General features: G+C 49.8%; 3 protein-coding genes across 47 annotated transcripts in view, besides 5 other annotated features; 1 reads left to right on the top strand and 2 right to left on the bottom strand.

The window, feature by feature from the left end:
• The window catches only part of MAST2 (microtubule associated serine/threonine kinase 2), a 232,511-nt gene extending 220,714 nt beyond the window's left edge, over positions 1-11,797 (top strand). For 21 of the 34 annotated variants that reach the window (XM_011541059.3, XM_011541062.3, NM_001324320.2 and 18 more), the window contains 14 exons: positions 1,352-1,490; positions 3,406-3,538; positions 4,443-4,608; positions 5,141-5,242; positions 5,506-5,628; positions 5,804-5,913; positions 6,282-6,436; positions 6,682-6,965; positions 7,066-7,260; positions 7,853-8,079; positions 8,271-8,393; positions 9,477-9,613; positions 9,748-9,941; positions 10,213-11,797. In XM_011541059.3, coding sequence (XP_011539361.1) covers positions 1,352-1,490; positions 3,406-3,538; positions 4,443-4,608; positions 5,141-5,242; positions 5,506-5,628; positions 5,804-5,913; positions 6,282-6,436; positions 6,682-6,965; positions 7,066-7,260; positions 7,853-8,079; positions 8,271-8,393; positions 9,477-9,613; positions 9,748-9,941; positions 10,213-11,741 — 3,617 coding nt within the window. In that variant the 3' untranslated portion in view covers positions 11,742-11,797. The remainder of the gene's footprint in view (positions 1-1,351; positions 1,491-3,405; positions 3,539-4,442; positions 4,609-5,140; positions 5,243-5,505; positions 5,629-5,803; positions 5,914-6,281; positions 6,437-6,681; positions 6,966-7,065; positions 7,261-7,852; positions 8,080-8,270; positions 8,394-9,476; positions 9,614-9,747; positions 9,942-10,212) is intronic. The other 13 variants (XM_011541061.3, XM_047450096.1, XM_047450111.1 and 10 more) reach the window with 3 other exon arrangements.
• Positions 12,638-13,139: an enhancer, noted in NCBI's record as "OCT4 hESC enhancer chr1:46502635-46503136 (GRCh37/hg19 assembly coordinates)". NCBI's record gives its function as "activates a minimal SCP1, AML or CMV promoter by ChIP-STARR-seq in primed H9 embryonic stem cells {active_cell/tissue: H9 hESC(primed)}" and the evidence as "EXISTENCE:reporter gene assay evidence [ECO:0000049][PMID:30033119]".
• Positions 12,749-12,798: an enhancer, noted in NCBI's record as "active region_988". NCBI's record gives its function as "activates an Ori minimal core promoter by ATAC-STARR-seq in GM12878 lymphoblastoid cells {active_cell/tissue: GM12878}" and the evidence as "EXISTENCE:reporter gene assay evidence [ECO:0000049][PMID:35858748]".
• P3R3URF-PIK3R3 (P3R3URF-PIK3R3 readthrough) overlaps positions 15,815-20,973 on the bottom strand; it is a 136,349-nt gene continuing 131,190 nt past the window's right edge. The window contains exon 10 of the mRNA NM_001303427.2: positions 15,815-19,546. Coding sequence (NP_001290356.1) covers positions 19,348-19,546 — 199 coding nt within the window. The 3' untranslated portion in view covers positions 15,815-19,347. The remainder of the gene's footprint in view (positions 19,547-20,973) is intronic.
• PIK3R3 (phosphoinositide-3-kinase regulatory subunit 3) overlaps positions 15,815-20,973 on the bottom strand; it is a 134,762-nt gene continuing 129,603 nt past the window's right edge. For all 12 annotated transcript variants that reach the window (NR_137329.2, NM_001328648.1, NM_001328649.1 and 9 more), the window contains one exon: positions 15,815-19,546. Coding sequence is in view for 11 of the 12 variants with exons in the window: in NM_001328648.1 (NP_001315577.1) it covers positions 19,348-19,546 (199 nt within the window). In the remaining variant the exon portion in view is untranslated. The remainder of the gene's footprint in view (positions 19,547-20,973) is intronic.
• Positions 18,721-19,565: an enhancer, noted in NCBI's record as "OCT4-NANOG-H3K27ac hESC enhancer chr1:46508718-46509562 (GRCh37/hg19 assembly coordinates)". NCBI's record gives its function as "activates a minimal SCP1, AML or CMV promoter by ChIP-STARR-seq in naive and primed H9 embryonic stem cells {active_cell/tissue: H9 hESC(naive and primed)}" and the evidence as "EXISTENCE:reporter gene assay evidence [ECO:0000049][PMID:30033119]".
• Positions 19,292-19,351: an enhancer, noted in NCBI's record as "active region_989". NCBI's record gives its function as "activates an Ori minimal core promoter by ATAC-STARR-seq in GM12878 lymphoblastoid cells {active_cell/tissue: GM12878}" and the evidence as "EXISTENCE:reporter gene assay evidence [ECO:0000049][PMID:35858748]".
• Positions 19,566-20,409: an enhancer, noted in NCBI's record as "OCT4-NANOG-H3K27ac hESC enhancer chr1:46509563-46510406 (GRCh37/hg19 assembly coordinates)". NCBI's record gives its function as "activates a minimal SCP1, AML or CMV promoter by ChIP-STARR-seq in naive and primed H9 embryonic stem cells {active_cell/tissue: H9 hESC(naive and primed)}" and the evidence as "EXISTENCE:reporter gene assay evidence [ECO:0000049][PMID:30033119]".

Genomic DNA, 20,973 nt, shown 5'->3' on the forward strand with positions numbered 1-20,973 from the left:
CTGGACCCTCAGAAGAAAGGAAAGCCATTAATTACCCTGACTGGCTTGCAAAGGGGACACCCCTTAAAACCAAGCAAAATGCTCTGAGAATAGAACAGAAGAGCAACATGGGGCATAGTTCTGGAGGGAGGCAGCAGCTTTGCCAGTTTCCCTTCCCTCTCACCTTCTCACTGTGTGTACAGCCTCCAAAGATACTGTGCCTAGTCTTGAAGCTGAAGCTGAACAAAACTGTCCTTTAGTGTTTACTGGGTACATGCTGGGAGTTCATAGTGTTACTTTACTCAGAAACTAAAAGCCAGTAAGAAGGAAGTAACATGAACAGATGTTAACATCTCAGCCAGATGTGTTTACAGTATGCAGTATTCCTGTCCTAAAAAACATTAGGCTGGTACAAAAGTAATTGCATGTTTGCCATTACTTTTAATAAAGGCCTGGGTTCCTTCCCTCTCTGGCCTGAAAAATGTCCATGACAGCTATTAGCAGATTCACTTTACTTTCCACCCCCCTCCATACCCTGTGTATTTTCATGCTGCTAATAAAGGCATACCAGAGACTGGGCAATTTACAAAAGAAAGAGGTTTAGTGGACTTACAGTTCCATGTGGCTGGGGAGGCCTCACAATCATGGCAGAAGGTGAAAGGCATGTCTCACATGGCAGCAGACAAGAGAGAGCTTGTGCAGGGAAGCTCCCCTTTATAAAACCATCAGATGGGCCGGACGTGGTGGCTCATGCCTGTAATCCCAGCACTTTGGGAGGCTGAGCCAGGTGGATCACCTGAGGTCAGGAATTTGAGACCAGCCTGACCAACATGGCGAAACCCCGTCTCTACAAAAAATGCAAAAATTAGCTGGGTGTGGTGGTGCACGCCTGTGATCCCAGCTACTCGGGAGGCTGAGGCAGGAGAATCGCTTGAACCTGGGAGGCAGAGGTTGCGGTGAGCTGATATCACACCACTGCACTCTAGCCTGGGTGACAGAGCAAGACTTTGCCTCAAAAAAATAAATAAATAAAAATAACCATCAGATCTCATGAGACTTATTCACTATCACGAGAATAGCATGGGAAAGACCCACTTCCATGATTCAGTTATCTCCCTCCAGGTCCCTTCCCACAACACATGGGAATTATGGGAGCTGCAATTCAAGATGAGCTATGGGTGGGGACACAGCCAAACCATATCACCCTGTCTCCCACCCATGCCAGCAGCAAAGGGGCTAGAATCAGAGTCTCCAGCACCAGGATATTCCATGAAGCTGTCTCCTCTGGGACCTCAGAAACTGCCAGATGGGAGCTGGCTAGCTAGAGCAGGGAACTGAATCCTTTCCTCATGGTAGCCTGGGCTTGTTGCAGGGGGAGACTGTGCCACTCTGCTGAAGAATATTGGGGCCCTGCCTGTGGACATGGTGCGTCTATACTTTGCGGAAACTGTGCTGGCCCTGGAGTACTTACACAACTATGGCATCGTGCACCGTGACCTCAAGCCTGACAAGTATGTCCACAGTCTGTGTCCCTTGTCCAGGGTCTCCCTCTTGGGTCTCCAGATAAAATGTTGGCAAGCACAGTAGCTCTAAATCTATCCAGATGGCTACCGGGAAAACATGCTCCTGTGTGTGTCCATCTGGGCCTAGTTCTCTAGCCCCCCGACCACCCCAGATGCAGATCATTGCCTCAAGGTCTGGCTGGAACACTATAAGGCTTCGGTGACATGGAAGAGTCATTGAGGAGCCCCACTGAAGAAACCAAGCAAGAACAAAAGAATAAGCACATCTAGTAGATGGCTAAACAAGTGTCCTGACGTTTACTGACATCTACTCTGTGCCAGCACTATATTGTGGGTTTTTAAATGTAGTCCCTGGCATGTAGAACTTAAGTCTACAGTGGGAGACAGAAATATATGTATATAGGCTTCTTCTCAGAGGGTATTAGTCAAGTGGAAAAAGGAAGACCTGCTTTCTAAAGCAGGAGAGCAGAATGTGCAGAGTCACACAGGTGCAAGAGAACAGCACTTGTTCAGGAACTACAAATAGTGCAATATGGCGACAGCTTAGATGGTGAGAGAGTAGTAAGAGAAAAGGCTAGAGAGAGAGGCAGGAACTAGTTCATCAAGGGCCCTTTTGTTATATTTGGGTTTTATTCTAAAGGGGCCTAGAGAGTCTTGGAAGGGTCTGCTAACCAAAGATATGATAGAATGGCATGCCCAGATTATGGTTCAGGTTTAGAAAGCTCACTCTGCCGGTGAAAAGAGACACTGAGACCACTGCCAAAGAGATACCGAGACCAGGGAAAGACAGCAATGCCTGCAGCAGAACAGGGAGTCAGGATAGAAAGAAGAGGGGTAGTGTGGGGAAGTATAAAGGAAAGAGGATCAGGCTGGGGTGGGGGTAGGAAGGGAAGTGAGGGAACAGAAGAGGCTGGGATGTGTTCCAGATTTCCAGCTTGGGACTGGTGCAGGGTGATAAGCCTCTGTGGAAGAAAGTGGCTTTGACATAAGACAGACCTGAATTCAAATGGCCACTCTTCTGCTTATTAAGTCTGAGTTTGAGTCTACTAATTAAAGTTTCCCTGACCCTCACGTTCCTCCTTTCTAATATAGGGAATAATTACACCTACCTTTGATGTGTTACTCTAGAAAACATTTCAGGGGCCAGAATATTTTTAAAGCACTTAGCACAGAGCTCAACAGATAACCAAAATTATTGTTTTTCACTGAGGAGGGGAACCAGTTGGGAGGCATGACTTTGTTTTGGACAGGTTGAGTTTCTGGAGCCTGTAAGACACATGGGCAGTTGGGTAGGCCTGGAGCTCAAAAAGGAAGTCAGAGCCAGAGGTACTATTTGGGGAATCATTAGAATAAAAGGGTGGCAGGGTAAAGCCTTCAGCACAAAATGAGTGGCTCAGGCAGAGTATATAAAGGGATCTTAGTTCTAGTTTCTCCCAACTAACCCTCCTCCCAAGACCAGCCATGGACATGGAACAAAATTATGTGTGCCCCCTGCCCCTCTCCCTGAAACAGGAGTATTATGGGCCACTCAGATTGGGAGAGGGGACTAGGAATGGCTCCAGCAGCTGCCTTAGGATGAGGCTGATCTCAGCTCTGTAGAAGAAACTCTGTTCCTCAACTGAATGACTCCTGCCCCCAACATAGAATACAGTTAGGGCAATAAGCAGAAATGGAGTTGTGGGAATGGGCAAAAGGCAGGTTCGTTGCTTGTGCAGAATGCAGCACTCACACAGCCAGAGCGATTTACGTGTCCACACCTGCCTGTCCCCCCAGCTGAAGCTACCCAGCTTGTGTCTCACAGTACCCCCATGGAAGCCTGAGTGGGGAAACTGGGCATATACTAAAATCAGTACTCTCAGAAAACCAGGAATAACTTCTTAATTTTATTTCTTCGTTCTTCCAGCCTCCTAATTACATCCATGGGGCACATCAAGCTCACGGACTTTGGACTGTCCAAAATTGGCCTCATGAGTCTGACAACGAACTTGTATGAGGGTCATATTGAAAAGGATGCCCGGGAATTCCTGGACAAGCAGGTAAGGAAGGGTAGTTGATACACTGGGGGTTAAATTCTAGGCCCTTGTCCTGGCGCAGTGTCTTACGCCCGTAATCCCAACCCTTTGGGAGGCTGAGGCAGGAGGATCGCTTGAGGCCAGCCTGGGCAACATAGTGAGACCCCATCTCTACATTTGTGTACACATACATAGATTCCAGGCCCTAGAATAAGGCCTTGGGGCCATATGCCTACCTTGTAGCTAGATGTTAAGATTGGGAACCCCTATCTTTTCTACCTTTGGGTTCCAGAGAGGCACTGAGATAGGTAGCACATTTGGAAAACAGGATGAGCCTTGAGAATCATATGGATATAAAATCCAAAGTCATCTTCCTCCTCAGGGTTTGGGGAAAATAGGTCATATAACTGTTAGCACAGAGTTTCATATGAGATCAGTCCTGAATCTCCCAGCCTGAATCAAGGGCAAGGCTCTCCTGGAGCCTGAGGTTCTTGGAACACAGCTCTGAATTTCCATTGGGCTGTGGCCCAGTGTCCTGAGAGGCAGCCTCTGGATGTTCCCTGGTTTGACATTTCAGGTTGTGACTGTTCACCGGTCCCTGTAGTTGTTACATGACTGATAGGGTCTGTTTTGTTAGAGGCTGGAGTGCAGAGGCCCATTGTGGGATCACATGCCAGAGGTGGGTGTTGAGGGCTTAAGGGATGGTAGTTCCGGGCTAGAATGAGACATTTTTGTTAATTAGGAAATACCTACTGACAGTTCCGACTCTTGTTCCCTGGGGCTTCTGTTGATCTTGTTCATTAACTAAGGTGGGCTGAGTCTTCATTCAGAGATTCTTCTGCTCGAGATGGGAGCATCCCCCATCTCCGGCTGTCATGCCAGTCAGCAGCCTCAGGAGGCTGAGCCAGCCTGGCTTTTCTGTGCCCAGGTATGCGGGACCCCAGAATACATTGCGCCTGAGGTGATCCTGCGCCAGGGCTATGGGAAGCCAGTGGACTGGTGGGCCATGGGCATTATCCTGTATGAGTTCCTGGTGGGCTGCGTCCCTTTTTTTGGAGATACTCCGGAGGAGCTCTTTGGGCAGGTGATCAGTGGTAGGTACTATGCCCCTGGCCCAGTGGGGAAACAGAGTCTGAATCCACAAATATGATGTATGCAGGCAGCTCGTGAGGCCTGTGAGCTCTTGTTCTGAACTCATCATGTGTGTTTGTGATGTCTGCTGCTTTGGGGATGGGTGTCTCTGTGTTTCTGCATGTACATACATGTGCACACTGTGTCCCTTGGGGCTTCACATGTCTCTCATAGACACCTGGTCTCTCATATACACCTGGGTGTTCCTGTCTGTGTATGTGCACATCCCATAAGTGTGAGGGGTACGTCTGTGTATGTTTTGTGGAGTATAAAAGCAGGGTGAGCTAGAGCTTTGCAGTGCCTGCTGTGGATCAAAGATCAAGCTATGGTCTAGGAACCTATAGAATTTAAGGACTGGGGTCCCAGGCAAGGCTTTCAGGGGCTCCAGGCTGGGTCCTTTTTGCCTCCTTTCCTTTCACTGTTCTGGGACCCTCTTCTGCATCTCTCCACTCTACCCACAATTTCTCCTTTCCCTCTCACCCCTGATGACTTCAGATGAGATTGTGTGGCCTGAGGGTGATGAGGCACTGCCCCCAGACGCCCAGGACCTCACCTCCAAACTGCTCCACCAGAACCCTCTGGAGAGACTTGGCACAGGTAGGGCAGGCCCTGCTAACTTTTCTCACTACTTGGAAAAGGGGTAAGGGAGGCTGAGTCATGTACCCTGGAGGTTCAGGCTTCGGTTACGGGCAGCCCCTCTGGATCCTGAAACTCTGCCCTGCTCTGTAGGCAGAAAAGGGAAGATGCTTGAGCTGATCCCCTAGGTATAGCTTCTGAAGGTCTGGCTTCTTGCTAGATTTGCTGACCTAGACTCCATGCTGCTCATCCTACCCCCTTGCCCATGTCCTCCCTGTCCACAGGCAGTGCCTATGAGGTGAAGCAGCACCCATTCTTTACTGGTCTGGACTGGACAGGACTTCTCCGCCAGAAGGCTGAATTTATTCCTCAGTTGGAGTCAGAGGATGATACTAGCTATTTTGACAGTAAGGCCACCGATGGGTGGGGTGGAGGATGGGTCCTACCTGTTTGCCTAGAAACACCTGTGCACACTGAAATTGCATTGGGAGCAACTTCTCAGGGCTCTGCTGAAATCTAATGGGGTCACAAGGAGGCCACCAGCAGGGCTCTGAAGGAAAGTGTCCTTTATGTCTGGCCCAGCCCGCTCAGAGCGATACCACCACATGGACTCGGAGGATGAGGAAGAAGTGAGTGAGGATGGCTGCCTTGAGATCCGCCAGTTCTCTTCCTGCTCTCCAAGGTTCAACAAGGTGTGACTGAGGAGGCCCAGAATGGGCAGAACAGGCTGGAGGATCAGAAGAAGAGGGCCTGTCAAAGGGCACACCTGGGGCAGGCTCAGGGAGTTGGGGTTGGGGCCACCTCTAGAAAAAGAGGAGCTAAGGGTTGGGGCTACATATAGCTATATATAGGTGCTTCTAGAACCACTGCTGTCCCTGACATGAGATGCCAGGTCAGATCAGTGGAATAACTCCTTCCCCAAATATTCAGCAGGGGTGTGTGAAGGAGGGATGGAACCGACTGGTTCAAATTCCTAGGTTTCCGATGCCAAGGATGCTTTATGCCACTTGGGAGGTACGGCTGCCAGAGCCCATCCCCAGCGCATCCCCTGTGCCCACAGGTGTACAGCAGCATGGAGCGGCTCTCACTGCTCGAGGAGCGCCGGACACCACCCCCGACCAAGCGCAGCCTGAGTGAGGAGAAGGAGGACCATTCAGATGGCCTGGCAGGGCTCAAAGGCCGAGACCGGAGCTGGGTGATTGGCTCCCCTGAGATGTGAGCACCCAGAGTTCACCCAGGGTGGGCGACACAGCTATCCCTGCATTGTCACAGATCATGGGAGAGATTCCGATGCCAGGGAGGAGTGCAGGTGGCAGGGAGGGGGCATTCACAAGGGTGGCTCCTGGAGGAATGTCTGCGGAGGAAAGTTCTGTTACTATAACCCTTGTGTGCCCCTAAGGAGACCTGGCAGGAGGAGGGGGACCACCTGGGTCACTCACCCCAGGCCTTGTGTCTCATAGATTACGGAAGCGGCTGTCGGTGTCTGAGTCATCCCACACAGAGAGTGACTCAAGCCCTCCAATGACAGTGCGACGCCGCTGCTCAGGCCTCCTGGATGCGCCTCGGTTCCCGGAGGGCCCTGAGGAGGCCAGCAGCACCCTCAGGAGGCAACCACAGGAGGGTATATGGGTCCTGACACCCCCATCTGGAGAGGGGGTATCTGGGCCTGTCACTGAACACTCAGGGGAGCAGCGGCCAAAGCTGGATGAGGAAGCTGTTGGCCGGAGCAGTGGTTCCAGTCCAGGTATGGCCCAGTGGGCGGCCAAACGACCTAAGCTGGAGGATACTGCAGGGCAGGGAGGCTCAGCGGCATCGCGGGTCTCACTGCTTACTTGGGCCTACAGCTATGGAGACCCGAGGCCGTGGGACCTCACAGCTGGCTGAGGGAGCCACAGCCAAGGCCATCAGTGACCTGGCTGTGCGTAGGGCCCGCCACCGGCTGCTCTCTGGGGACTCAACAGAGAAGCGCACTGCTCGCCCTGTCAACAAAGTGATCAAGTCCGCCTCAGCCACAGCCCTCTCACTCCTCATTCCTTCGGGTGAGGCCCCTGGGGAGCTGGGATAAAACTCACAGGAAGGGCCTTGTAATCTCTAGGCCTTGGGAGGGTTCTGCACGTGGCAGGTGTGTGTGTGTGTGTTAAGCACAGATCTGACTGTGGTCTCTGAAGGTGTGTATTGGTGTCTGGGGTTGTGTATACATGTGCCAGAAAGCAGGACAGCACCATGTCACAAGTGCAGGCTTTGGGGTAGAGAGCTCACACTCAAATCCTGGCTCCATCACTAACAGGCTCTTGACCTTGAGCAAGTTGCTTAACTTCTCTAAGCCTCAAGTTTCTTATCCAAAAATGTGGATATAATAGAGGCCAGCTGATAGGTTGTGACATTTAAATATATATGACAAGCTTATATAGTCCCTGATACACACATAAATGCTAGCTGCCATTTCTCATCACCACCACCGTCTCTTGGGGTCTGGACACGGGAGAGGGCTTCACAGGTCAGGGGCTGTGGGGAAAATGGACCTAGGCTCAGGCTCTGTCTGTGACTAGAGTTGTGCTGACATCAACAGACTGGACCAGGGGCCAGGCCAAAGCCCTCTGACCCACTAAGTCCTGGCTTCTCCTTCTCCAGAACACCACACCTGCTCCCCGTTGGCCAGCCCCATGTCCCCACATTCTCAGTCGTCCAACCCATCATCCCGGGACTCTTCTCCAAGCAGGGACTTCTTGCCAGCCCTTGGCAGCATGAGGCCTCCCATCATCATCCACCGAGCTGGCAAGAAGTATGGCTTCACCCTGCGGGCCATTCGCGTCTACATGGGTGACTCCGATGTCTACACCGTGCACCATATGGTGTGGGTATGTCTGACCATCCAGACCTGCTGTCTCCCTGCTTCATCATCCTTCCAGCTTCCCCTTTGTGGAGCCCATCTGTCCCTGCTCGGGGGTCAAAGGGTGGTGGTGAAGGGGCTCACAGCTTAATGTCCAGAACCAGGCCCCATACTTCGTGTTCAGGCTCCAGTCTGAGTACTGTTCTCTTCCTGGCACAGCACGTGGAGGATGGAGGTCCGGCCAGTGAGGCAGGGCTTCGTCAAGGTGACCTCATCACCCATGTCAATGGGGAACCTGTGCATGGCCTGGTGCACACGGAGGTGGTAGAGCTGATCCTGAAGGTTAGTGCTGGGCGTGCTGCCTGCATGGTCCCTGAATGACCTCAGCCTGTGAGTCTGTGATGGCAGTTAGGGGAGTGGGTGAGTTGGGTGCACACACATCTACACCGAGTATGGATGTAGGTACACACAGGCCGGGCGCGGTGGCTCATGCCTGTAAATCCCAACACTTTAGGAGGCTGAGGCAGGTGGATCACTTGAGACCAGAAGTTTGAGACCAGCCTAGCCAACATGGTGAAACCCTGCCTCTACTAAAAATACAAAAAAAAAAAAAAAAAAATGCCTGGGTGTGGTGGCTCACGCCTGTAATCCCAGCACTTTGGGAGGCCGAGGCGGGTGGATCACCTGTGGTCAGGAGTTTGAGACCAGCCTGCCCAGCATGGCAAAACTCTACTAAAAATAACAAAAATTAGCCAAGCGTGGTGGTAGGCACTTGTAATCCCGGCTACTCGGGAGGCTGAGGAAGGAGAATTGCTTGAACCTGGAAGGCAGTTTGCAGTGAGCTGAGGTCATACCACTGCACTCCAGCTTGGGAGACACAGCAAGACTCTGTTTCCAAAAAAAAAAAAAAAAATTAGCCGAGTGTGGTAGCACATGCCTGTAATCCCAGCTACTTGGGAGGCTGAGGCAGGAGAAGTGCTTGAACCCAGGAGGCAGAGGTTGCAGTGAGCTGAGATCGCACCACTGCACTCCAGCCTGGGTGACAGAGTGAGACTCTGTCTTAAAAAAAAAAAAAAAAGATGTAGGTACACACAGAACTTGAATGTGGCACAACAGAGAGTTTTCTCCACAAGGCAGTACCCTCCCTGACTAAGGCCCAGGGATCCTTCTGAGCTGTGGGTAGGGCTGCAGAATGGGACGGATTAGCCTGTTTTCTACCTTCTTACCCCAAACCACTCTGGGGCTCCAATGGGAGCCATTTCCTCATCTGTAAAAACAATAATATAGGCCTGTGGTTCAGATGTGTTGGTGCAGGGACAAAAAGCTGGAGCTGTGGTATAGCCATGCCAGAAGGGAAGGATTGGGGGAGGGGAGGGGCAAGAATATGGCTCCAGCTTAGCCTAGGCCTCATGCTCTGCTCCCCAGAGTGGAAACAAGGTGGCCATTTCAACAACTCCCCTGGAGAACACATCCATTAAAGTGGGGCCAGCTCGGAAGGGCAGCTACAAGGCCAAGATGGCCCGAAGGAGCAAGAGGAGCCGCGGCAAGGATGGGCAAGAAAGGTGAGCCAGGCGCAGTGAAGAGGGTTTTCTCTGAGCCACATGAGTGCTGGTACGTGGTGGGTGCCTTGGCCCTGGGGGTCCAGTGTGTGCTGTGCTCACTGCACCGACTCAGCCTTTGACCCTTATCCCCGCAGCAGAAAAAGGAGCTCCCTGTTCCGCAAGATCACCAAGCAAGCATCCCTGCTCCACACCAGCCGCAGCCTTTCTTCCCTTAACCGCTCCTTGTCATCAGGGGAGAGTGGGCCAGGCTCTCCCACACACAGCCACAGCCTTTCCCCCCGATCTCCCACTCAAGGCTACCGGGTGACCCCCGATGCTGTGCATTCAGGTACGAAGGGCTCCCTGCAGATCAGTGACAACCCCTGGGAAATAGGAAAGTTCCTAGGCCCTGTGTGCTTCTGACAGATCCCACTCTGAGTCTCTCATTTAGCCCACCCCCTGAAAGATCCTGTAGTCTTGGGGAGGAATTAATTGATGGGGAAGGGGGTAGCTTGGTTTCTGGGACATAACAGGGCTAAGCCCTGTCTTGCCCTTGAGTCACTTCTAACAGCTAACACTGCTCTGCTTTTGTCTGTCTGTCTGTCTGTCTCTGTACAAAGTGGGAGGGAATTCATCACAGAGCAGCTCCCCCAGCTCCAGCGTGCCCAGTTCCCCAGCCGGCTCTGGGCACACACGGCCCAGCTCCCTCCACGGTCTGGCACCCAAGCTCCAACGCCAGTACCGCTCTCCACGGCGCAAGTCAGCAGGCAGCATCCCACTGTCACCACTGGCCCACACCCCTTCTCCCCCACCCCCAACAGCTTCACCTCAGCGGTCCCCATCGCCCCTGTCTGGCCATGTAGCCCAGGCCTTTCCCACAAAGCTTCACTTGTCACCTCCCCTGGGCAGGCAACTCTCACGGCCCAAGAGTGCGGAGCCACCCCGTTCACCACTACTCAAGAGGGTGCAGTCGGCTGAGAAACTGGCAGCAGCACTTGCCGCCTCTGAGAAGAAGCTAGCCACTTCTCGCAAGCACAGCCTTGACCTGCCCCACTCTGAACTAAAGAAGGAACTGCCGCCCAGGGAAGTGAGCCCTCTGGAGGTAGTTGGAGCCAGGAGTGTGCTGTCTGGCAAGGGGGCCCTGCCAGGGAAGGGGGTGCTGCAGCCTGCTCCCTCACGGGCCCTAGGCACCCTCCGGCAGGACCGAGCCGAACGACGGGAGTCGCTGCAGAAGCAAGAAGCCATTCGTGAGGTGGACTCCTCAGAGGACGACACCGAGGAAGGGCCTGAGAACAGCCAGGGTGCACAGGAGCTGAGCTTGGCACCTCACCCAGAAGTGAGCCAGAGTGTGGCCCCTAAAGGAGCAGGAGAGAGTGGGGAAGAGGATCCTTTCCCGTCCAGAGACCCTAGGAGCCTGGGCCCAATGGTCCCAAGCCTATTGACAGGGATCACACTGGGGCCTCCCAGAATGGAAAGTCCCAGTGGTCCCCACAGGAGGCTCGGGAGCCCACAAGCCATTGAGGAGGCTGCCAGCTCCTCCTCAGCAGGCCCCAACCTAGGTCAGTCTGGAGCCACAGACCCCATCCCTCCTGAAGGTTGCTGGAAGGCCCAGCACCTCCACACCCAGGCACTAACAGCACTTTCTCCCAGCACTTCGGGACTCACCCCCACCAGCAGTTGCTCTCCTCCCAGCTCCACCTCTGGGAAGCTGAGCATGTGGTCCTGGAAATCCCTTATTGAGGGCCCAGACAGGGCATCCCCAAGCAGAAAGGCAACCATGGCAGGTGGGCTAGCCAACCTCCAGGATTTGGAAAACACAACTCCAGCCCAGCCTAAGAACCTGTCTCCCAGGGAGCAGGGGAAGACACAGCCACCTAGTGCCCCCAGACTGGCCCATCCATCTTATGAGGATCCCAGCCAGGGCTGGCTATGGGAGTCTGAGTGTGCACAAGCAGTGAAAGAGGATCCAGCCCTGAGCATCACCCAAGTGCCTGATGCCTCAGGTGACAGAAGGCAGGACGTTCCATGCCGAGGCTGCCCCCTCACCCAGAAGTCTGAGCCCAGCCTCAGGAGGGGCCAAGAACCAGGGGGCCATCAAAAGCATCGGGATTTGGCATTGGTTCCAGATGAGCTTTTAAAGCAAACATAGCAGTTGTTTGCCATTTCTTGCACTCAGACCTGTGTAATATATGCTCCTGGAAACCATCTTTATGTCTTTTGCTTGCTTGTTTTCCTTCGGTCAACCCACATGTAACTAGGTCCTGTGTTGCTGCTGGGAATATAGTGGTGAATAAAACAGTTTCCACCACCAGGGGAGGGCCACCTAACCCAGCTTGACTTCCCAAAGGCTTTGACATTTGAGCTCAAACATGAAGAATAGATGATAGGTAGTAGTTTGCTGGGTGTGGAAGAGTGGAGGTTGGCATAAGAAAGGCTGTCCAGGCAACGTTTAGCACATGCAGTATACCTGGCATAGTCAAGGAACCAAAGATAATTCAAAGTAGAAACGGGTCTGGCAAGTGAGGCAAGGGCCATGTCTAATGGTCTTCCAGGAGATTTGACTTCGTGAAGGTGATGGGGAACCAGAAAATACCATGTAGCAACTAAAATTCCTTCATAGATAAGGGCACTAAGACTTTGATGCCCATGGTAATACAGTAGCTTGGGTAGAACGGGGGTTAGAACGTAGGTCTCCCTTGGACTCCGGAACTCACATCTCTCCTAACTAGGATTGCCTCAGCCAGGAAATGAGGAGGGGAAGAAGTGAGAGAAGGCAAAGAGTTTAACTTTGGGTGCGTTTGAGATAAAAGAGAAGACAGAAGCAGCAACCAGCAGAGTCATAAAGTCTATGGGAGGAGTTTTAAAATGGACAGAGAAGTTAACGATAAATGCCGAGGTGAGGGCGAGATTAAAACAGCTGCCAGTCGTATTTAGTAACAAGCCCTTCATAATTGTAGCCAGTGAGCTCTTCCTGGGCTGTTGTAGGTAGAGGCCTCAGCACTGGAGGTGGATGGACATCGTGTGTGTAGCCCGCATTGAGTAGAACTTCATTTGATGGTAGTGTGGGAGGAAGGGGGAGGACATAAGTGGGACCAGTGCCAGGGGAGTCAGGAGGTGGCATCACAGGGCAGGCAGTGGGGCTTGGTAGAGCACCAAGGCTTTGTCTCCATAGTGATAGAGGACTTGAGAAACTGTCTTGCACTGGTTGCACTGATCGTCCCACAATCCAGTGCCTAGGTCTGAAGAAGACGTGTTAGGAGGCCTGAAGACGAAAATGCCTCTGGGCCATTGCCTGGGAAGGCTGTGGCCACCAGAGGGCGCACTGTATCCACAGTGGCAGAGCCCATTTATGCAGATATTTGGCCCCTCAGCCTTCTAGTCCTCTCCACTTCTTCATTCATTCACAGCGGACCCTGGGCTAATGTACCGGGACCTGGGCAGACAGATCACAGGTTGTGAGCTGGAGAATGGCAGGGGCATGGCTGAGGTAGCAAGTGCCCCGTGCATGTAGGGATCTGGTCAGAAGCACCATACCACAGGTGAAAAGGATGTTGGGAACTGCCCTCCTAGAGGGTTGGAAATGGGGATGGGAGGAGGAAGCAGAGATGCTAAACATCCTATACCACACTGGGCAACTGCCCCAAGTGTCAGTGGTGTTCCCCTTGAGAAACTGGTGGGATTATCCTGAGGGTAGTGAAGAGTTTCTAAAAGGTAACTTCAGGGAAGTGGTATTATCATTTGCTTTAGGAAGATCACTCGCTGCAGTATAGAGAGGCTGGAGTGGAGTGAGCGTACCACAGAGGATGTAGTGACCCATTTTGGTGGTCTGAACTAGAACAGCAACAGTGAGGAGGTAAGGAAGGAAAGGGTGGGAAGCTGGACATCTAGATTTGGGAGCCATCAGGAAGTAGAGGGCAATGAAAGCCACAGGAGATGAGGACTGTCCAGGGAACATACGCAGAATGAGGAAGAAGTCCCGAAATACTGGCACTAGCTGAGGGGGATAGAGCCAGTGAAAAGTTGAAGGTGGGGATTGAGATCCTGAATCAGGGAGAAGCCAGACCATCTAATTTTGTAATTCACCCTAAGATCAATGGAGACTTATTTAATGTTTTACATCGGTTCAGATTTGTATTTTGAAAAGATGACTGGTTGCTATAATGAGAATGGATCTGAGGGGGACAAGAATGGAAGAAGGGGGGCCTTCCAGGATGAAGGGTGCAGATGGTAGTGAAGCAGTGAAGTTAGAAGTGATGTTTTGATTGACACTTGGTGAAGGACTTTAGGTATGAAGCAGAGGGCTATCAAGGATGATGACTGACTACATTTTTGACTTATATAACCAGATGAATTGTATTTCCATTCACCGAAATAAGAAACAAGGAAGAGAACCAGGGCTAAGTAGTTCAGTGCTGCATTCCATACGCTAAATATGAAGTAGCTTCCAATAGAGGTCTGGGCAAATGAAATAAACAGATGTAATCAGCCTAGAGATGGTAGGTGGATTCATGGCTGTGGATAAAACTGCCAGGTAAAATGGCATTGAGAACTGAAGGAATCCAGGAGATGTAAAAGAACAGTCAGATGTCAGAAGAATATTAGATTAGTGAGTTGTGATAGAGTCCATGAAGGAGCTTTCCATGGACAGGATAGTTAACAGCGATGGTTATTGAAGGCATCAAGAAAAGCAGTTTCAAACAGTGGTGGAACCAGTACTGAAATATTTGAGATGGGGAAATAAGGAAATTTAAGACAGTTCTTTCCAAAGGCTTGGCTTTGAAGAGGAGAAAAGAGATAAAGGTATATGGGATGATTGAGTAGGGATTAGGGGAGTAGAATGAGAACCAACCAACCATGTTTAAGTGTCAGTGGAAATGATCCAGTTGAAGTAGAGAAAGAATTGATCTTAATCTTGGGAGATTCCTGAGGTGGAAGAAAATAGATTCCAAAATACATGTGGAAGGATTGACTTTAGTTGGAGGGGACTATTGTAATTTAACAGATGGGAGGGAGAATAGTTATGTAGATATAGATAAGGTTGTAGGTTTGGTGGTAGGAAGGTGAGGAAATTCATAGCCAATCATACTTTTTCTGACAAGTAAACAAGTTTGCTTTTTTGAGACAGAGTTTCGCTCTGTTGCCCAGGCTGGAGTGCAGTGGCACGGCCTCAGCTCACTGCAACCCCTGCATCCCAGGTTCAAGCAATTCTCATGCCTCAGCCTCCCGAGTAGCTGGGATTACAGGTGCATGCTACCACGCCCAGCTAATTTTTGTACTTTTAGTAGAGACGGGGTTTCACCACGTTGGCCAGGCTGTTCTCGAACTCCTGACCTCAGGTGATCCACCCGCCTCGGCCTCCCAAAGTGCTGGGATTACAGGCATGAGCCACCACGCCCAGCCCCAAGTAAACAAGTTTGAAGTGTCGGTGAGATACCCAGGAGCCCAGTGGAAACATCCAGCCAGCGGGTAGAGTTCAGAAGAAAGAACTGGGAAGGAGCTAGGAATTTGAGCATCCTAAACACAGAAGTGCGAACAACTCTGGGATTAGGAGAAATCCATAGTTCCTGGCAGTGGTCTTGGGATGCTGTGTAGCTAAAGTGTAGTGGGGAGAAAAGACATAGGCAAGGTCACTTAGAACAACAGGCTGTTCCCTGCCCAATCTGACTTATTTATAATTGAGTACACATGGGTGGGGCCTGAGACATGGATGAGCGCTGCAATATCCTATGCAACAAGAGGTTATCGCATGTTGGCTCATTACGTTCCCAGAATACAGGAAGCTCAACAGTGTGCCTTGGCAGGAGATGACAAGGGCCTGGGGCAATAAGAGGATAGATTATAAAGCTGGGCCCATTTCCCCCTCCCCCAGAGTAGAATGTGGAAACACTTCATTCTGGGCAGAAATATGAGAACCAATAAACAGCTTATTAGGAGTGGGCAGTGAGGTGTGGAGGAAATGGCATTCAGTTTTAATTTTCTCAGAGTCAGTATCTAAGACTTCTGTGTCTGTGTTCGGTGGACAGGACTCTGGCATCATGCCTAGTTGGAGTCAATGTCCTCCCCTAGGAAGAAAAGAGCCTCTGGCTGCCCCAGTACTAGTCTTTTGGTGCTTACTGGAGAGAAGGTTTGGAAGTTTCAAGGGCTGTTCAACACCTGAGTACTCTTCTCTCTTGACCCCCACTCTGCCCCCAGCCCACCCCTTCATAGCATGAAGACAAAAAATTACTTTATTGCAATGTCTTTATTGCATTACTGGAGCAAGTTGGCCAGACTGTCCCCTCTTGGGGAAGGTATTAAACAAAAAGACCAATAAGTATCTCCTCTCGCCTTTCCCCCTACCCTCCCCAACAATTGCACAGCAATGTCTGAACACATCTGGTGACAAGAACAATTTGTAAAGTGGTCTAGCAACTACATTATGAACTGTCCCATCACAAGACATACAGTTGGCTTTCTTGTGAGTCAGATATTTTTACGTAAACTACACGAATTTTCTTGGACACATCAAAGACAACAGAATAGATTTTTCACAAGTAACGGCACCAAAGTCACATGCTGGAATTTGTAAGGAAACGAGGTTGTTTGCCACAAGTGGCTGGAGCTAAAGCAGGTTTGAGCAGTTGGCAGCAGAGGGCCCAAGCAGGCCCCCTATCTGGACCCTCTGGTTTCTGAGGCCACTGAAGCCTCACAGAGGCCTACTCTGGGTTGTTAAATAGCAGCAGAGACCACCTTAGAAAACAGGAATTGCCCAGGTGCAATTCTCAGTTTAAGAGAACACATGGGGCTGATTACTTGTAGCAAAAAAGAGACCCGTGGAAGACACATTGGCTCTCAAAGCTTCTTCAAAGCACATGAGGCCTAAATAAGTGGAGGTCCCATCAAGGCTTGGAGAGGGAGTGAAAGTGTTGGGAGGGCCTCATTCTTGGCCAGATCAGTGGTAAGGACGCAGGCAGTCTATCCAGGCCCGAATCATGGCGTGCCATCTAAGGCCAGGTGGAGACAACACTGTTCTGTGATGAAAGCTTCACCTGGAAACAATGGGCCTAGTACCTGTGTCCAGCCAGCCCCAAGCTGCTTGCATGTCAGTAGCTGGGTTCTCTAGCCAGGGGTATAATGAACCCCTCTGATCTTGGTCTCTCTTTGCCCTCTGCCTCATTGAAACTGCAGTTAAGATGCCAAGACAGTCCCAGGGTCCAGATCATGGGACAGGACATGGCACTAGACTCTCATGAAGGAGGCCAAGACCTGCTCCCAAGTCATGGGCGTAGAGAAGCACCTTGCTACCCTCTCCCCCTCTACACACCAGGCCCAGTGGGTAGTAGACTGGTCCCTATGCCATTTCCACAGGCTCAGGGTCAAGCAAGTCATGTGGCAACTGGTCAGAAAAGATACTGTCAAACCTCTCAAATGACCCCTGGGTCTTAGATCCCACAAAACAATGAATTCAAGAATGAAAAAAAAAATGAAGGAATGTAGGACTGAAAAAAAGCAGCCCTTCTCCACAAGCCAGCCCAAGTGTAGATAAAGATGGTACTTGGTCTCTCCCTGCACACCGCTGGTGTCTGCCCAACAAGGAGCAGACACATTACTGAATACTACAGCCCTGTATCTGTATTTCCATTTTGGTTTAAAAGACACTCAGAACACACTGAAATTTTAGTACCAGATGGGAGGGATTCCTTGCACGTAATCTTGAGCATCCACCTGCTTCAGCAGGTTCAACACCAGGTGCAAAGCCATCCAGGTGTGCCCAACAGCAATTAGCTTGGTATTATTCAGTAAAACTTTCAGTTAAGATTTCAATTGACAGTTTGGGGAAGGGATGTGCTGGCTATTAGTTAAATGACTTTAGAGGGGGGTTCATTTGTCTCTGTCTCACCCAATCCTGAAACTGCAGTGTAACCAAGAAAAAGCCAAAGAGAAGCACTTCCCTTTCTATCCTCGTCACTAGTAACTGGAGGTTTTTCCAAAATTAAAAATCTGTGTCTACATCATGGTCCATATTTTAGACCCTGTCATGGAAATAAGTGCTCAGGTAAACTAATATTTTTCTTTCACCCCCAGAACTAGAGCTTTCCTAGCTGTAAGCCTTATAAACCAAGATGCAGGTACTGGCTTCTCTAGCTCAGCCAGGGTGCCTGACTGCACAGCTTTGGGTTCAAACAGCTGACTCACTCTGAGCCTATTATGGTCCCAGGATTGGCTCAGAGGCAGCTGGACTCTATTTGTCAAATGAGTGTTGACTGATGGGTGTGGGGCATGATGGGGGCAGGAATAGATGCCTGCCCCCACTCCATTTGCCTAGCTTCACTCAGCTGGAAGGCTTAAGCCACATGGAGCAGAAGATTCCTGGCCTAAAATCAAGGCCACTGGAGCAGGAGGGCAGACTGCACATAGCCTTAATGGCAGGATCACAAAAAAAGGCAAAGAGAAAAGCTTCCAGATGGCTTCTACTAACAGTCTAAACACTAAGCCATCTTCTCTCCCTGCAAAAGCTTCAGAAACCACTGTATGGAAGCACATGTGTAATGTGGTGTGACTCTCACCCTGGACCACAGGGCCCCTGGGTCTGTGATTTACTGAGGCACCTGACCACAATCTGACTCCCCTCCTTAGCAACCTATAGCTCCCAAAACCCCATCCAGCAAAGGAGGGGGAAATGAAGGGAAATTAAACCATGTTTACTATTTCTGCAGGGCCTTTAAACTTGGGGAAGCACATATAATAATGTTGTTCTATATTGTTATTTGGTATATCAAGCCATCTAAAAGCACTGCATTGCACCTTTTCTTTACTCATACAAACAAGTTACAAAGGTTTCAAACAACAGATCATTCTTTAGGCTAAGGAAACACCATACAAGCACCAACTTCATTTTATGATTCAAAGCTCACCATCCCCACAAAAAGAATGCTATTCCTCATCTCAGAGAAACAGGCAGGAAGGACAGAAGGGGTTAGTTACAGTGATCAATTTTAGCGTTTGCTAAAACTCACAAATTCTAGTCTTTTTATGTTCAAGTTTTGGTACAGAAGTATACATTCAACTATGAGTGCCACGTTTTCCCATCAAACATTGGTCTGGCAACAAACTGTTTTGTTGGCTTCTGAACATAATACTTCTTCAGAGGGAGGGGCTGGTGAGATGCTGAAGCCTAAATTATGTTGGTAAGAAACAAAATACCTTCAGTTGAAGGTTTTTTTTATCATCTTGGCTTAGATTATTTAAATGAAATCCCAAGCCTCCCCATTTTCCTTTGGTTGTCTTTTTCATCAAATCCCATTCTATCACAAAACCTAAACAGCCTTCTTCGTGGGGGGAAGAGAGACTGCCAAAGCAAAACACAACTCCCAGCAGAGCCATGCCCCTGCTGCACTCTCAAGAGTTAGATTTTAAAAAGACATGGTCTCTTCAGAGGCTTCCAAATACAACCCCACCCGCTATAACCATCAAGCCTAATATTCTGTTGAGGGTGTCTGGCTAAACAAAACAAAAACCCCAATGAAACAGACTTTCAAAAAAAACATCTGCTTCCAGCTTAGTATGTCAGTGCAGCGGCATGGCTGAGTCCTAGAGAACCTCAGGCCTCTAATGCCCCCATCCCGGCCGGCTGCTGCTCGGCCTCTCCACTTCACATTCACAAAATCACTTCTTGTGCAAAACAAGCAGTCTATGTAGAAAGAATGCCCTCATCGTAGTCTAATAAAAACTGTAGAAAAAAATGCCAGAGAACCACCTCTCTTCCCACTTCCTCTTTATCTGCAAAGCGAGGGCATCTGTGCATGAACAGGGTAGGCAAGCCTGACGTTGAGGGAGTCGTTGTGCTGAACCAAGGATGTCTGCTGGTAATGGAGCACTAGCTCCTTCAGAGAGCTGTACAGGTTGTAGGGCTCTGCAAAGCCATAGCCCCGAGCAGTGCTGTAGATCACACAGTGCTTCACTTCCCCATCGGCCCTGCAATGACAAACCACAGAAGAAATGTTAAGGTAGGTAACAATAGATAAAAGGACACTAAATGGCCAGAAGTCTGAGAGCAATTGTTATGCAAACAAGTGTTTTTTGTTAACCAGGCAAAGCTTGTGAAATTGCGTTCCCATTCCCTACAGACTTGGCCACAGATACGGGTGTTAAAACAACCACAAATGTAAGGGTTTATTTATTTCTTTTTTTTTTTTTTAGACAGGGTCTCGCTCTATCACGAAAGCTAGGGTACAGTGGCTTGATTACAGCTCACTGCAGCCTTGAACTCCTGGGCTCAAGTGATCCTCCCACCACAGCTTCCCAAGTAGCCGGGACTACAGGTGTGAGCCACATGCCCAGCTACTTTTTTATTTTTAGTAGAAATGGGGTCTTGCTATGTTGCCCAGGCTGGTCGTGAACTCCTGGGCTCAAGGAATCCTCCTGCCTTAGCCTATTAAAATGCTGGGATTACAGGTGTGAGCCACCACGCCCAGCCAAGGGTAGTTTTTGATTAATCAGTTTATGTAAGGACTGCAGCCAAGTCCTGAACCTACAGGCTGCCACCCAATAACCTGAGTGACAGTGAGCGACTGGGCTTACTGCCTTCCTTCTTTTTATTATTCTTAGAAGATCCTAAGTCTTACAAGAACCATTCTCGCCTACATTTCCACTCAGATAACTTCAACAGCCCAAGTCAAGGAGAAATGAAATGTTGCAAGTAGTTCTATCCTTGGATAACAGTAATCCAATGCACTTTTCAACTCCTCCCCCATTTTCTGCCCATAAGACATCCCATTCATCTTTTTGAGGTCCATCTCAGATACCTTTTCCACAAAACCTCCCAATCCGCTCTTTCTCCACTAAAATTAATGCTTCCACATGTGCACAGCCTACTAATAATACTTATTTCACAGTGGTTCTATTCATTGTGGATATTTGGTGAAATGAAAAAAGCCTGGTGCAATAGAAAAATGTGGGTTTTGAAACCAGGTAAACTTGGATTCAAACTCTGACTCCATGATACAAGTAGAGCACTATGAACAAGATGATCACATAAAGCACTGAGCAGTCTGTTAATATGAATGCCTTTCGCCTACCTTCTCCACCTTGCCCTCTAAGGGCACAATCATTTTGTCACTTTGTTTGACTTCTGCCACATCCATCAGTAGCATCATCATCATATTAGTAGGTGACATTTACTTCTTATGTCCCTGCACTGTTAAAAGCATATTGTATTACACAGATTAACTCATTTAATCCTCACAAAAACCCTAAAGTAGGTATTATCCTTATTTTACAGATAAGGAAACTGGGCAAAGAAAGATTAAGTAATTTACCCAAAGTTACCCAGCTAGTAAGCAGTAGAGCCAGGAGCTGAACCCAGTATATCTGGCACCATCATAACTCTTTTCTAAGTGTGG

The sequence above is a fragment of the Homo sapiens genome, chromosome 1, assembly GCF_000001405.40.
Source record: "Homo sapiens chromosome 1, GRCh38.p14 Primary Assembly".
Classification (NCBI taxonomy): Eukaryota; Metazoa; Chordata; class Mammalia; order Primates; family Hominidae; genus Homo; species Homo sapiens.